This window comes from Homo sapiens, chromosome 7, assembly GCF_000001405.40.
Source record: "Homo sapiens chromosome 7, GRCh38.p14 Primary Assembly".
NCBI classification, from domain to species: domain Eukaryota; kingdom Metazoa; phylum Chordata; class Mammalia; order Primates; family Hominidae; genus Homo; species Homo sapiens.
In genome coordinates, this window is record NC_000007.14 from 21,722,909 (window position 1) to 21,739,054 (window position 16,146).

The 16,146-nt window shown below is 41.6% G+C and overlaps 1 protein-coding gene across 1 annotated transcript in view; it reads left to right on the forward strand.

Moving 5' to 3' along the window:
• DNAH11 (dynein axonemal heavy chain 11) overlaps positions 1–16,146 on the forward strand; it is a 358,801-nt gene that overhangs the window by 179,870 nt on the left and 162,785 nt on the right. Inside the window, exons 45-47 of the mRNA NM_001277115.2 lie at positions 2,903–3,076; positions 12,732–12,936; positions 15,793–15,958. Coding sequence (NP_001264044.1) covers positions 2,903–3,076; positions 12,732–12,936; positions 15,793–15,958 — 545 coding nt within the window. The remainder of the gene's footprint in view (positions 1–2,902; positions 3,077–12,731; positions 12,937–15,792; positions 15,959–16,146) is intronic.

Sequence of the window (16,146 nt, forward strand, 5' to 3'; positions counted from 1 at the left end):
ACCCCTCACCTCCCTCCCAGCTGACCCTCTTTTAATCTTTCCAGTTTCCAAATGTATCAGCCTTACCCCCTAGTTATATAAGCTAGAAGCTGGATATCACTGGCACCTTCCCTTCGCTAATTAATAGTCAACATGAGCAGCAATAGCAGCTTAACATTTTCAAAAGGGCTCTAACTACAGAGCATTTAAAACAGAGGCTATGAGGTTGGCAATATGCATGAAACAGACACAATAAATGTTCTCAGGATAGCCACTTGGTAGCTTAACAAATTGAGTGTCTAATATGTGTCAGGGAATGTGCTTAGAGCTTTTCATAGGGCACCTCATTTACTCTTCAAAAACTATAAAACTCTATATGGATTGGTACAACTCTTCTTTTACAAATAAGGAACTGAAGCTTAGAAAGGTATTTTAATCTGCTTCCAGGCACAAAGCTAACCCATGTCTAAGCCAGGTTCAAACAGCAGCGGACTGACTCAGGACCTATGTTCTTCAGCCATTGCAGCCAACCTCCAAAACAAGTTTCAAATCAACTTTATCTGAACTCCCATAAACTGCCGTCATTTCTCACTTGGCTTCTGAAGTAGCCTCCTCACTGGGCTTTCTATTTCTGCATTTATTCTGATAATTCATCATCCACTCAGCAGTCAGGGTGATTTTTTGAAATGCACGTGAAATCCTATGATATACTCCAGAGTTGAAAACACTTGAATGGCTCCTTGTTGCCTTTAAGATTACATTTCAAATTTTAATTCTATTTACAAGGCCTCTGAATCTAGCCCTGCTTAGCTCTCCCTATTTCTTCCTCTGCCACTTCCCCCACTCCCCCACTCCCCCACCCCTCCACCCCCAGCTACAGGGTCCAGTTTCTTGAGCACACCAAGTTCTTTCATACCACAGGAACTTTGTACATGCTGGACTCTTCCTTAAACGGCACTTAAAGATGCCTTCCCTGAACATCCAATTAAAATAGGTTGCCTCTGTTATTCTCACTTACAGCAAACTTTACTTTCAAGGCAACTGTTGATGTCTGCGTTTGTTGGCTTAGCCTCAGCTGGACGACACATCTTCATGTTCCTCTCCTCTATGTTCCCCATAAACTCTGTGAGAGGAGAGACTCTGTTGGTTTTCTTTTCTACTTTAGAACAGATGCGTTTTAGTTGAATTAATTAATGAATGAAAGATTTGTCACCAAAATCATTTTGCCTATATGTAGTGGTTAGGTGAAGCAAAGTTTGATATCAAGTAAAAGTTAAATGTAGTCTGCCTGCAGAGAATGGTGTCACATAAGTAATATCATCTGAACTGTCCTGGCTCAAGACCAACTTTTGTAGGGTGAAGAAGTATCTTCTACCACCAATCTGAAAATAATTTAAATGAACCTAAAGTCATAACTCATGCATGGGGTGGTAGAAGGATGCTCTCAGCTGGTTTGGAAGATGGTGGGGCAAGCTCTCCCTGCAAACACCGATCACCTCCTTCTGCCCAGTTTATAGGCCATAATCCAATGACATAGGGACGTCAAAGTAAAAGCAAGTTTAAAAACTTCTATGGGGAAAAATCACGGTTGAAGTCATAGATAGAAATGAGATTGCTGAAAGCAGTAGACACACACAGTATTTTTAAGAGTTCATCAAACTCACTATTTTAGGTCATGCTATGGATATAGGAGTCACTGCGCCAGGTCTCCTGTGGATATAAGAGGTACAGAGCCAGGTCATCGTATGAATATAGGAGTCGCTGAGCCAGGTCATCCTATGAATATAGGAAACACTGGGCCAGGTCATCTGTGGATATGGGAGTAACTGGGCCAGGTCATCCTATGAATATAAGAGTCACTGGGCCAGGTCATCCTATGAATATAGGAGTCACTGGGCCAGGTCATCCTGTGGATGCATAGAGGTATCACTGGACCAGGTCATCATGTGGATATGGCAGTGACTGGACCAGATCATCCTAGGGATATAGGAGTCTCTGGGCCAGATTATCCTATGGATATAGGAGTCACTGGGCCAGATCATCCTGTGGACATGGGCATCACTGGGACAGGTCATCCTGTAGACATGGGCATCACTGGGCCAGGTCATCCTGTGGATATAGAAGGGTTTTTCTAGTTGTTGCTCACAGTTGTCCTTTTCTTTATTTTCCAACCCTAATCTAGCAGTAAATGGCTTATATCTATACTGATATTAAAGCAAGCACCTCCCAGTAAAGAGAGCCTGTTCCTTGCCAATATAAATCTCTCTGGAGGCTGAAAGTTGATCCCTATGCAGTTTTCAGCTGGACCCCTTAGATTTGGTCTGGTGGGAAACCAAGCCCATGCGTTTATCCATTCCTCCATCTCTCATGGCAGGGATTCCCAGATTTAGAATTCCAGAGATCAACAGAGTTTCAGTAATGATGTGTAGGAATGGTATAGAGTTGCCAGTTGTTTACTTTTCTAAGCAAGAGCATTTATGAAAATAACTATCACCATAATTTTATAAGGGAAAAATATTTTATCATTGAAAGGGCCAGAGAAGCTATAAGCTCAGAACAAAGGACAGTATTTAAATCAAATAATGTCATTAATTTTTAAAAAGTACGCCATTCTTATTTTTCCCATTTTCCCATAAATTGATGTGAACATTGGTAGAAGTGAACACCACCGTTACAATAGTGACTACCTAGCATAGGAATTTGCATAATACGTTGTCATTAGATTGAATAACGAACAGGTAATCTGGCGTTCACCTAACTTTACCTTGCTTTTTAAGTTAATTATTTCACAAAATTTGTGCTTGATGGGTATATGGCAATTTTAGGTTTCTACCCCTATGATATTGTTACTCATAATTTGTTTCTTTTTTTACAGTTTTAATTACTTTGAGTCTGCAATAAGGATTTCTTTTGTTCTCCTTAGATTTCTGATTATCAAGCTGACTTCAGTCGGTGGTGGCAGAAAGAGATGAAAGCAGTGAAATTTCCGTCGCAGGGAACAATCTTTGATTATTATGTGGACCACAAAACTAAGAAATTATTGCCCTGGGCTGACAAAATTGCCCAGTTTACTATGGATCCAGATGTGCCTCTGCAGGTAGGTGTGTGGAACATAGCAATTGTATTAGTCTGTTTTCATATTGCTATAAAAAATACCTGCAACTGGGTAATTTATAAAGAAAAGAGGTTTAATTGGCTCATGATTCCACAGGCTGCCCAGGAAGCATGATGCTGGCATCTGCTGAGCTTCTGGGAAGGCCTCAGAAAATCACAGGGGAAGGGGAAGCGGACACTTCACTTGGCCAAAGGGGAAACAAGAGAGAGTGAGGGGGGAGGTGCTGCACACTTTTAAATGGCCAGATCTCATGAGAACAAATTCACTTTCATTAGAATAGTACCAAGATGGATGGTGCTAAACCATTTATGAGAAACTGCCCCCATGACCCAATCACCCCACACCAGGCCCCACCTGCAACATTGTGGATTACAATTCAACATGAGATTTGGTGGGGTCATAGATCCAAACCATATCACCGATATTCAAGTGAAGTGTGCTGATGTGATCCCTTTTTAAAAAAAAAGTCTTTTTTTTTTCTTTCTTGCCTGATGAATAAGTTATTGTGTTAATATGCTCAGCATATGACATATATCACTGGCAGAGAAGAATCTCAGCTATAAGAATGCCTAGTGATGGCCAGGCGCGGTGGTTCATACCTGTAATCCCAGCACTTTGGGAGGCCGAGGTGGGCAGATCACGAGGTCAGGAGATCGAGGCCATCCTGGCTAACACGGTGAAACCCCATCTCTACTAAAAATACAAAAAATTAGCCGGGTGTGGTGGCGGGCGCCTGTAGTCCCAGCTACTCGGGAGTCTGAGGCAGGAGAGTCGCTTGAACCTGGGAGGCGGAGGTCGCGGTGAGCCGAGATCGCGCCACTGCACTCCAGCCTGGGCGACAGAGCAAGACTCTGTCTCAAAAAAAAAAAAAAAAAAAAAAAAAAAAAAAGAATGCTTAGTGAGATGTCTGTTATATTTCTGCATCCTCTTTTCTTTTTTTTTTTTTTTTGAGATGGAGTCTCGCTCTGTCGCCCAGGCTGGAGTGCAGTGGCGCGATCTCGGCTCACCGCAAGATCCACCTCCGGGGTTCAAGTGACTCTCCTGCCTCAGACTCCCAAGTAGCTGGAACTACAGGTGCCCGCCACCACGCCCGGCTAATGTTTTGTATTTTTAGTAGAGACGGGGTTTCACCGTGTTAGCCAGGATGATCTCGATCTCCTGACCTCGTGATCCGCCCACCTCGGCCTCCCAGAGTGCTGGGATTACAGGCGTGAGCCACCGTGCCTGGCCTCTGCATCCTCTTTTTAAAAAATATAACAACTTAATTCTGTAATAACTATAAAATGTAAAGAAATAATAATTTTTCCTAGAAAGTTTGTGAGTTTGTAAAAATTGAAGGCATATTTCTGTTCAGTGATTGTTATTTCTGAACTTACTGTAAACTTCTTAGTTAGTACTTTTCACGTATAACGTTCTTCTTATACCCTCCAGCTATCAAATGAATATGTTTAATCTCGTCTATTCACGTTTCACAGTCATGTGACAGCTAATGATCCAAATGAACCTTTCTCTCTTTCTTCACTGTTTCTTTTCATAGATTGCTCTTCTGCATTTCCCTTAGATTCAGGTATTCTTTGATCATCGTATTCTACCTCAATGTGTTTTCCTTTTCATATTATTTCTTCCTCAAAATCATGTCATTCTGACTCATTTTGGAGCTTATTATTTTGGGAGTGCTGTATGAGTGGCATATAGGTGATTTCTGTGGCATTTATTAGGAGGCAATTAGTGCCAAATAACAGAAAGCCCAGTGCATTCATTTCCTGGAGCTGCCATAACAAAAGACCAAAGACCAGGTGGCACAAACAATAAAAACGTGTTTTTCTCAAAGTTCTAGAGGCTAGAAGTCCAAGATGGAGACACTGAGGGGTTTTGTTTCTCCTGCAGCCTTTCTCCTCGGTTTGCTGATAGGCATCGCTTGCCGTGACCTCACATAGCCTTTTCTCTGTGCACATTCATGCTCACTGTCTCCCTGTGTGTCTAAATTTCCTCTTCTCCTAAGGACACCAGTCACATTGGATAAGGGCCTAATAGCCTCATTTTAACTTAATTATCTCTTTTATAAGTCCTATTCCCAAATACAGCCACATTCTGAGGTATGAGGGGTTAAGGCTTCAAGAGATGAATTTTGGAGGAGACATAATTCAGCCTGTAACAATGTGCCGCCTTGACCCCCAAAATTCAAGTCCTGTTAACATACAAAATACATTCACCCATTCCAACAGCCCACAATTCTTTTTTTTTTTTTTTTTTTTTTTTTTTTTTTTTTTTTTGAGACAGAGTCTTACTCTGTTGCCCAGGCTGGAGTGCAGTGGTGCAATCTTGGCTCACTGCAACCTCAGCCTCCCAGCTTCAAGCAATTCTCCTGCCTCAGCCTCCCGAGTAGATGGGACTACAGGCAACCCACCACCATGCCCGGCTAATTTTTGTATTTTTAGTAGAGACGGGGTTTCACCATGTTGGCCAGGCTGGTCTTGAACTCCTGACCTCAAGTGATGCACCCACCTTGGCTTCCCAAAGTGCTAGGATTACAGGCATGAGCCGCCACGCCCGGCCTACCAACAGCCCAAAATTCTTAACCCATTCCAGTATCAACTCTAAGTCCCAAATATAATCCAAATATCATCTACATGATACATTTCATCTATCAGTTCATTTCATGAATTGAGGTACAATTCATCCTGAGGCAAAATTCCTCTCTAGCTGTGAACTTACAAAACCAGAGAAGTTACCTGCTTGCAAAATACAGTGGTAGAACAGGCATAGGATAGACCTTTCTATTCCAAAAGGGAGAAATCAGAAGAAAGGGGTCACAGGTCCCAAGCAAGTCCAAAACTTAGCAGAGCAAATTCCTTTAGATTCTTAAGACTTCAAAATAATCTTCTTTGGCTCAATGCCCTGTACCGGGGCCCACTGGGATGATGGCCCTGCCTCTGGACACACTAAGGCGGCAGTATTGCCCTTGGGGGCAGCAGCCCTGTCCCTGGGGCACTGGGCGGTAGCATCCTGGCTCAGTGACAGAAGTGGTGACCCCATCCCCTGAAAGTGAGGGGGAAATAGCCTCATCTCCCTGATCTGTACCTTTCGGGCCGGCCAGTGGTGGCAGTGGCAGTAGATGTTCTGCTGATCTGTGAATTGCCTTTGGAGTTACTTTCCCTTTTCTTGGAGGTTAATACATTATTTGCAGCCAGGTTGCTAAATTGTCTTGTCCTGTAGAATCTAAGAAGTCTTACCATCCTTCATTTTGTCCTGTTTCCATCCTCTTTACCCCAAGCTGGCAATATTTCTGCTGGTATAACCCCATCTCTATCCCTGGCTTCTTCTGAAATAGCTGATTTTGTCTAAGAATTACACCCCTAATTTCTTTATGGAGTCGTTGTCTGGCCACACTTTGGTGTTCTCTCCAGAATACACTTTCTCATGTTCTGCGTATGGACAAGCTGAGAATTTCCCAAATCTTTAAGTTCTAGTTCCTTTCTGCTTAACAGTTACTTCTTCAGTATGTCTTTCTCCTCTTTCATTTTGCTAGCAATAAGGAGAAACTAGGCCACATCTTCAACACTTTTCTTAGAAATCTCCTCAGTTAAGTACTTGAGTTAGTCACTCACAGGTTCTATCTTACACAGAACACTAGAATGCAATTCAGCCGTGTTCCTTGCCACATTATGACAAGAATTGCTTTTCTGCCAGTGTCAAGTAACACTGAGGTCTCACCAGAACCATCTGAGGTCTCACCAGAAGCCTCTTTAATGTCCATATTTCCACCAACAGTCTCTTCAATGCAATCTAGGCATTTTCTTGCCTGCACCTTAAAACTATTCTATCCTTTTGTCTTACCCTGTTCCAAAGTCACTTCCACTTTTTTAGGTATCTGTTACCATAGCAGCCCACTTCTTAGAATCAAAATCTGTATTAACCATGATGAGATACCACCTCACACCTGTTAGAAAGTCTGTTATCAAAAAGACGAAAGATAACAAGTGTTGTCAACAAAAATGAGAAAATGGAACCTTTGCACACTGTTGGTGAAAATATCAGTTAGTATAGCCATTATGGAAAACAGTATGGAGGTTCCTCAAATTAAAAATTGAGCTACCATATGATCTAGCAATCCCACTTCTGGGTATATATCCTAAGGAAACAAAATTAGTGAGTCAGAGAGATATCTGCACTCGCATGTTTACTGCAGCACTAGTCACAATAGCCAAGATATGGAGTTAACCTAAGTGTCCATCAGTGGATGAACAGACAAAGAAAATGAGGTTCATACACACAATGGCATACAGGTTGAGCATCTCTAATTCAGAAATCTAAAATTCTCCAAAATTAAAAACTTGGAGGACTGGCATGATGCTCAAAGGAAATGTTCACTGGAATAGTTTGCATTTCAGATTAGGAATGCTCAACCAGTAAGTATAATGCAAATGTCCCAAAACCCCCAGAAATTGAAATCCAAAATACTTGTGGTCACAAACATTTCAGATAAGGGATATTCAACTTGTACCTTTCAGCCTTTAACAAGAAGGAAATCCTGTCCTTTGCAACAACTTGGATGAACCTGGAGGACATTAAGTAAAATAAATCAGACACAGAAAGACAAATACTGCATGATTTCACTGACTTGTGAAATTTTAAAAGTTGAACTCATAGAAGCGGAGAGTGGAATGGTGGCTACCAGGGGCTGGAGTTAGGAGACTGGGGAGATGTTGGTCAAGGGATACAAAATTTCAGTTAGGAGAAATAAGTTCAAGAGATCTATCGTACATGGTGACTGTAATTAATAACAATGTGTAGTATTTTTTAAAAACCATTAAGAGAAAAAATTGTAAGTATTCTTCCCATAAAAAATAAGCACATGGGGCTGGGTGCAGTGGCTCACACCTGTAATCCCAGCACTTTGGGAGGCCAAGGCAGGTTGATCACCTGAGGTCAGGAGTTCGAGACCAACCTGGCCAACATGGCGAAACCCGGTCTCTACTAAAAATACAAAAAATAGCTAGGTGTGGTGGTGTGCGCCTATAATCCCAGCTACTCGGGAGGCTGAGGCAGGAGAATTGCTTGAACCTGGGAGGCAGAGGTTGCAGAGAGCCGAGAGTGCGCTATTGGACTCCATCCTGGGCAACAAGAGTGAAACTGTCTCCGAAAAAAAAAAACTATGTGAATTGTAAGCGTATGTTAATTTGCTGGATTTAGCCATTGTACAATATATACATATTTCAAAACATCAGGTTATACACAATAAATACATACAATTTTGTCAGTTAAAAATTAACTTTTTTAAAAAATAAAGCATATTTTAGCTCTGTGATCCAAAAAATTTAATTATAGTTGTAACCTGGAGAAACCCAACTGCACATAGAAAGATGATCATGGCCATGTTGTTCCTGACAACAACCAAAAAAAGGAAAATTGAAAAACTAAGTTGTAATATATTTGTAGAATGGAAATCTACACAGCAGTAAGAAAAATTACCTAGACCTAGATACACCAATATCAGCATATCTCAAAAGTATAATGTTGATTGAAAAAAGCAACGTACAGAATAATCTCTATTTTCTGAAACTGGTTGCATAAATTTACAAATAAAAGTTCAAACAAAAAAGCAAACCTGTACAGTAGTCCCTCACTTATCCATGGCTTTGCTTTCTGAGGTTTTGGTTTGGTCAACATTGGTCCAAAAATACTCAATGGAATATTCCAAAGATAAGCAATTTATAAGTTAAATTGCACACTGATCTGAGTAGCAGAATTAAATCTCATGCCGCCCCACTTTATCCCACCGAGGATGGTAACCATCTTCATCCGGCTGTCTTGGTGACCAGGTCGATTGTTGTGTACTGCAATGCTTGCGTTCAAGTAACCCTTATTTTACATAATAATGACCCCAAAGTGCAAGAGTAGTGCTGCTGACAGAATTGTTCTATTTTACTGTTGTTAATCTCTTAGTGTACCTAATTTATAAATTAAACTTTATCACAGATATATAGGTATAGGAAAAAACAGTATATATGGGGTTCTGTACCGTCTGTGGTTTCAGGCATTCCCTGGGAGCCTTGGAACATACCTCGCCCAGGTTAAAGGAGGACAAGTGTATTAGTTTGCTAGGGCTGCCATAACAAAATACCACAGACTGGGCAACTTCAACCACAGAAGTTTCTTTTTTCACAGCTCTGGAGGCTAGCAGTCCAAGTTCAAGGTGTCAGCAAGTTTGGCTTCTCCTGAGGCCTCACTCCTCGTAGCCACTTTCTCTCTGCATCCTCACATGGCTTTTCTCTGTGCATGTGTATCCCTGATATCTCCCTGTGGGTTCAAATTTTCTTATAAGGACACCTATCAGATTGGGTTAGGGCTCAGTCCAATGGCTTCATTTTAACTTAATCACCTCTTTAAAGCCCGTGTCTCCAAATACAGTCCCATTCTGAAATACCGGGGTTAGGGCTTCACGACATGAATGTTGGGGGGACACAATATTATCAGCCTGTAATATTACTCCGGTATGACTTCATCCTATCTCATTACATCTGCAGCACCCCTATTCCCAAATAACATCACATTCTGAGGTACTGCAGATGAGGACTTCAACATAGAAATTTGAGGAGGAGACAATTCAACCCCTAACAATGAGGAAATTTATTATTTCACAAACAAGGAATTCAGAAGTCGAATAATCACAATGCAGATTAATTCTGTGACCTGGTGGAATCACCAAGGATTGTGATCATCCCATCTTTCTATACTGCTCTTCTTAACATTGACTTCAATTTAAGACAGCCATCCCTTTGGTCTCAAGATGTCTCTAGTGGTTCCAGAAGACAACTTCAAAGGAGGCAGGGACTTTCTCATATCTTTTTGTTAAGAGTGAGGAAACCTTTCTCAGAAGCCTGGAGCTGACTGCCTCCTGCATCTAATTCTGCAGACTGGGCCATGTGCCACCTGTAACCCAGTCTCAGGCCTGGGCAGTGGGGCTGCCATGATGGGCTTTGATGATTCCTCACATCCTGCAGGAGCCAGGCAGAGCTTCCCGTGGAGCACGTGGCTATGTGGGGGAGGGGTGGGGACTTGGACAAAGTGGGGGCTCTCCCAGCAAAGAAGAAGCAGGGAAGGCCAGGTGCAGTGACTCAAGCCTGTAATTGCAGCGCTTTGGGAGGCCGAGGTGGGTGGATCACCTGAGGCCAGGAATTCAAGACCAGCCTAGCCAACATTGTGAAACCTCTTCTGTACTAAAAATACAAAAAATTAGCTGGGTATGGTGGCAGGCGCCTGTAATTTCAGCTACTTGGGAGGCTGAAGCAGGAGAATTGCTTGAACTCAGGAGGCAGAGTTTGCAGTGAGCTGAGATCGTGCCACTGCACTCCAGCCTCAGCAACAAGAGCGAGACTCCATCTCAAAAAAAAAGAAGCAGGGAAATGGGGGTCCCAAGAGCCAAAAGTGCCTGCTCCCTCCACTTTATGTATTTGGAAATCTTGCTTTTTGTTCAGTCTGCCTAGAATTCAGCTACCTACAAGTATGATCTAGCTGGTTGAAGGCTGAGAACCTGTTATCAACCAAGACTGCTGAAGACCTGAAAACTGGTATCACAAGATTGATGCACCTTAGCGATGATATCTTGTATTCAACAGAGAACCTATGAGGAGTTTGTACTCTTTCTTTCCACACAGTTGTACCAAATGTGATTATTTAATTAACAGCATCTTAATATAGTAGAAGAGAACCATAGAAAGTCAATAATAATAGCAAATACAATATTATGCCATTATATGTCAGGCCCTTTACTGAGTGCTGTACGTAATGCAATCCTTACATCAACCTTCTAAGGCAGGGACTGTCGCTAGCCTTTTTTATATATATATACGGAGAAACAGGCACAAAAAGAAGAAATATATCCACAGCTATATGGGTAGTAAGTATAGGATGACCAACAGTTCTAGTTTGACTGGAATTAAAGGAGTTTTGGGAACATTGGACTTTGAATTTTAAAACTGGGAAATCCTGAGCAAACTAACAAGAGTTCGTCACACTAAAACAAGCAAAGCAGGATTCACACCCAGGCAGCCTGGCTCCAGAGTCCGTGCTCTGAAGAGCATTCTATGTGTAGATAAAAGAGAGGTCAGGCTCTGTCAGACTTGGGTTTGAATCGAAGTACTGCCACTTACTAGTAGCTATGACCTTGACCGAGTCAGTTATGTTCTTTAAGCTTTAGTTTCATGACCTCTGAAATAAAAATAACAACTCTCTTTATAGGTTTGTTATGGGTGTCTTATGACATTATACATGTAAAGTGCTTAGCATGGTACCTGCCACATACTCATTTCCAAGTAAGTGTGAATTATTGGTATTAATATGTGGGAAAGGCCAGCAGACAAATTTAAAAGCAAATGATGACAACTAGCAGCAAGAAAGGGAAAAAATATGAGATGCAGCTCGAATATTTTTTAAAGAGTTGTCTAGGACTGTTTAGCACAGAACAGTCTGTCTTTTAGTAAGCCCTGAGTATCACTGAATTAAAATGAAGTTCTAGAGTAAATGTTCAGACATGAAGATGATCTAGAATTGTGTATAAAATATTCAGTTGAGTCAACCATGGTGGCTCACACCTGTGATCCTAGCCCTTTGGGAGGCTGAGGCAGGTGATCACTTCAGCCCAGGAGTTTGAGACGAGTCTGGGCAACGTGGCAAAATCCCATCTCTACAAAAAATACAAAATAATTAGCTGGGCATGGTGGTGCATGCCTGTAGTCTCAGCTACTTGGGAGGCTGAGGTGGGAGAATAACCTGAGCTCAGGAAGTCAAGGCTGCAGTTAGCCATCATCACGCCACTGCACTCCAGCCTGGGTATAGGAGTGAGACCCTGTCTCAAAAAAAATAGTCATTCAAAAAACTCACAATCAACCGGGTGCAGTGGCTCAAGCCTGTAATCCCAGCACTTTGGGAGCCCGAGGCGGGTGGATCACAAGGTCAGGAGATCGAGACCATCTGGCTAACAAGGTGAAACCCCATCTCTACTAGAAATAAAAAAAATTAGCCGGGCGTGGTGGTGCACACCTGTAGTCCCAACTACTCAGGAGGCTGAAGTGGGAGAATAACCTAAGCTCAGGAAGTCGAGGCTGCAGTGAGCCATGATCATGCCACTGCACTCCAGCCTGGGTAATAGAGCAAGACACCGTCTCAGAACAAACAAACAAACCAGGCTAAGGCATTGGTCCCGATTTTCATTTGTGTGTGGCTTGACTTCTTGAACATTTTCTCATCTCCTGAAATGTTGTAGATAGTTTCTTATATGGTTACTATATTCCCTTCTGTGCTTACCCCAATGTTGGGCAGAGAGTAGGTATTTTGGAATTAGGAGCCTTGGGGGCTAGTACTTAATTTGGAAATGATAAATCAGTTGTTTACTTTATGGTACTTTGATGGCATTATCCAATTGCTCTCCTCAAGCTACAATGTCTGAACTCTAACCATTCAAAATTGAAAATAAGGTGGAATCTCTCCTGTTGGGTGCTAATCTGAACTATGAATTATTTGGATTTCAATTATAAAGTGACTGTGTTGAGTTTGATATAAAATTTTGGAATGCCTCTCTCTCGCACGCACTCTCTCTCTCTTTCTGATCTTTGTCTCATTCTGTTTCTCCTCCCAGACAGTTCTCGTTCACACAACAGAGACAGCTCGTCTTAGATATTTCATGGAGTTGTTGCTTGAGAAAGGAAAACCTCTAATGCTAGTAGGAAATGCAGGAGTGGGAAAAACAGTCTTTGTAGGTGACACATTGGCAAGTCTCTCTGAGGATTACATAGTATCCCGTGTGCCTTTCAACTACTACACGACATCCACAGCTCTGCAAAGTAAGTGCACCTGTTTATTTTCTAGAAACAAGGGATCAAAAATCATCAAGGCGGGCACATGCAGCCCAAAAGACTAATAATGCCTTTCCCTAGAATTTAGAGTTGTTGCTTGGGCCTTAGATGAATTTGTACTTATCATCCTTGTTAAATATACGTTGTTTAAATATTGTTGTGATTTTGGCTTTTTATGTCACTCATGGCTTTATTTGGGTGATTATGCTTTAGAACAGCAAGAATATACATCAATAGTGTTAATGTGTTACCTCGAAACCACTGGTTGCTTTTAATTGCATGGAGTCTTACCAATATAAGGGTATACTCAAGGAGGGATGTTCTGGTTACTTTTTCAAGTAAAAGATTAATTTAGGAGAAATTCATTAAAACTGTGTTGAGTAAATGACAGAGCCAAGAGTCATTAATGAAATCTTAAAATCACTAGAACTAGTTTTGAACTATTGAATAACTAATCAACGTAATCAAAAGAACCACACAGATTTGGGGCATTCCCAGAGTTAGGTAGGGTGAGCAAAAGAGACATGGGATGTAGAGAGGAAATCACCGAAAGAGCTGATGTCGGAAGGCCAGTCAATCTCCAGCAGGGAAAGGGGGCTCTGTTGGGGGGCAACCAGACTCTCTGATATCCGGTTGTTTATTAAAACTGTTGAGTTGCCTTGAATGTGGGCTCCTGGGGTATCTGTTTACATGTGGATATATGTTGTTTCCTTAGCTATATCAGTGGAGACTAATAATAAATGTTCTTACTCATTGACATCATTAACAGCCAATAGTGATTTTTCCGTCATCTTTTTTGTTAATCATTTGGTCTTGTCTTTATGAATGGAACCCTTAGAAAGCCAACTCAAGCCAGGTGTGGTGGTACATGCTGGTAATCCCAGCTACTCAGGAGGCTGAGGTGGGAGGATTGCTTGAGCCCAGGAGTTTGAGTCCAGCCCGGGCAATGTATTGAGATACCTGTCCCCCAAAAAGAGCCAATTATTTCATTCATCTATTCAGAAAATACATATTATTTACCTACTTTTTCCCAAGCATTGTGTAGGGTATGTTTTTCATTTGCAGATATGAAAGAAAGACTCTATGATTTATAAATGGAAGATTAAGCTACAGTTCAGTAGTTGAACAAATTACCTATGATGTGAGTGCATCTTGCTATTTCCTAAAAGGAATACAGGCATGAATACGATTTAGAGATGGCCTATTAGTGCGAGGAATAGAAAGAGCTGTAGTTGTCAGTATACTTGTAAAGAGAATTATGATTTCAAACATTTGAGCTGGGGCAACAAATGGGCAAAGAAGATTAGGATAGAAGGACCAGCTTAAGCAAAGACATGGAAGAGAGAGAATTGTGGGACACATTCAATGAATTGAATATGATGACTGAAGCATAGTGATTGGGTGCAAGATATGGAAAAGGCTAAGCTACTGATTTGGAGTTATACTGCAGATAGGGTGACCACCTGTCCAGTTCACCAAAAGACCAAAGTGTTTTCTGGAACATGGGACTTGTAGTTTTAAAACTGGGACAATCCCAGGCAACCACCGATGGTTGATCACACCAACTATAGAGAATGCTGAGATGCAAACTGAGGGGACTGTATTTCATTTGATGGAAAATGGTGAACCATTGATAGGGAAGCAAGGAACTGACAAGGTGGGCACTGTCTTTTGAGAAGAGAGATCTGAGTTGGGGAGATCAGTCCCCCTGAGTAGTATAAGAGCTATATGTAATGTGACCCTGGACCAGAATTGTAGAAAAGGAGGTGGCAAGTTGGGAACATATGGAAATGACATGAAGTACCATTTATAGGCTGTGGTTGGACAAACATGGGACCAGGAGAGAGAGACTACTGGAGGCTTTGCATCTGCCTGACTGGGCATGTTAACCCCCTAAGCAGGACCACAAAGGCAAAAGGAAAGAGGTGAATTGCGAGTGAGGGAGAGATGATGTTAAGCTGAGTTGGAAAAGAGGCAGATTTAGTGTTGGCTGAACGTTGGATGGTAATGGCTAGTAAGAATTAATGCCCAGCAAGTGTTTGGAAATGTGGGTCTGCTTCTTGGAAAAGGTGTTTATTTATTTATGATTCTTTGTTCATTCATTCATTTATTTGTTTGCTCATTTAAAAAAAGTACTTATTGTGGCCATTGTCGGTGGTATAGCAATGAATATGACATAGTTCCTTGGTCTCAAAATACTTATAGTCTGTTTGGAGAGTCAACAAGTAATCAGATACTACATCTCAGACACGCACTGTTCTGGATTTTCTTCACCCAGGACTTTAAAAAAATAGACACAAAGTCATATAGACACAGGAAGAAATGTAAGTTTATGTATTCACGGATAGTGACTACCTTGTGGATAGTGTCTACACACACTGTTCTTGTGCCTCTGCACTCCAGCGGCCTAAGAAGACAGGTATGGGAGACTTTCCTGAGCTGTTCTCAGACTCTTCCGCAGAGATGACAGAGAAGAGAACTGAGAGACCAGGCCATAGCTGGACTAGCAGTGGCCACATAGAATGGGTACGGGGGAGGAAGTACGCAGATCAGCAATTGGGTTGTTTCAGCTGTGATGACAATGTGATGTCATGCTGCACGTGCTGCAGTCTCCATAAAAGGTGAGGTGGAATGACTTCTGGCAACAGGAGGGAGATTGGCAGGAGAGCACGACACAAAAGGAGGGGCCAGAGACACATCCCGGGTCTCTTAACCTATGAAGGGGCGATACCTGAAACCACAGGGTGGATGAAATCGACAGAAGAAGTTAAGAACAAGAGAAAAATGACTAAATGAACATTTACATTCTGTTGATGGGTGGACAGAAATATATGTTTATTTCAGAAATTCTTGAGAAACCCCTAGAGAAAAAAGCTGGTCATAACTATGGTCCTGGAGGAAATAAAAAATTGATTTATTTTATCGACGACATGAACATGCCTGAAGTGGACTTATATGGCACCGTTCAGCCTCACACCCTGATCCGGCAGCATATTGATTATGGACATTGGTAAGCAAGTCTCTGTAGTTTACTCTCTCCCAAAATCTAATAATTATTATGGATAATAATTACTATGGATGAATAATTATTATGAATAATTATTATGGATGAATTATTATGGATGAATTCAAGTGCAATTATCCCCAGTTTCTTCTAAGGAATATCTTTTGGGTTTGCTTTGTATCTCTTTTCATCAT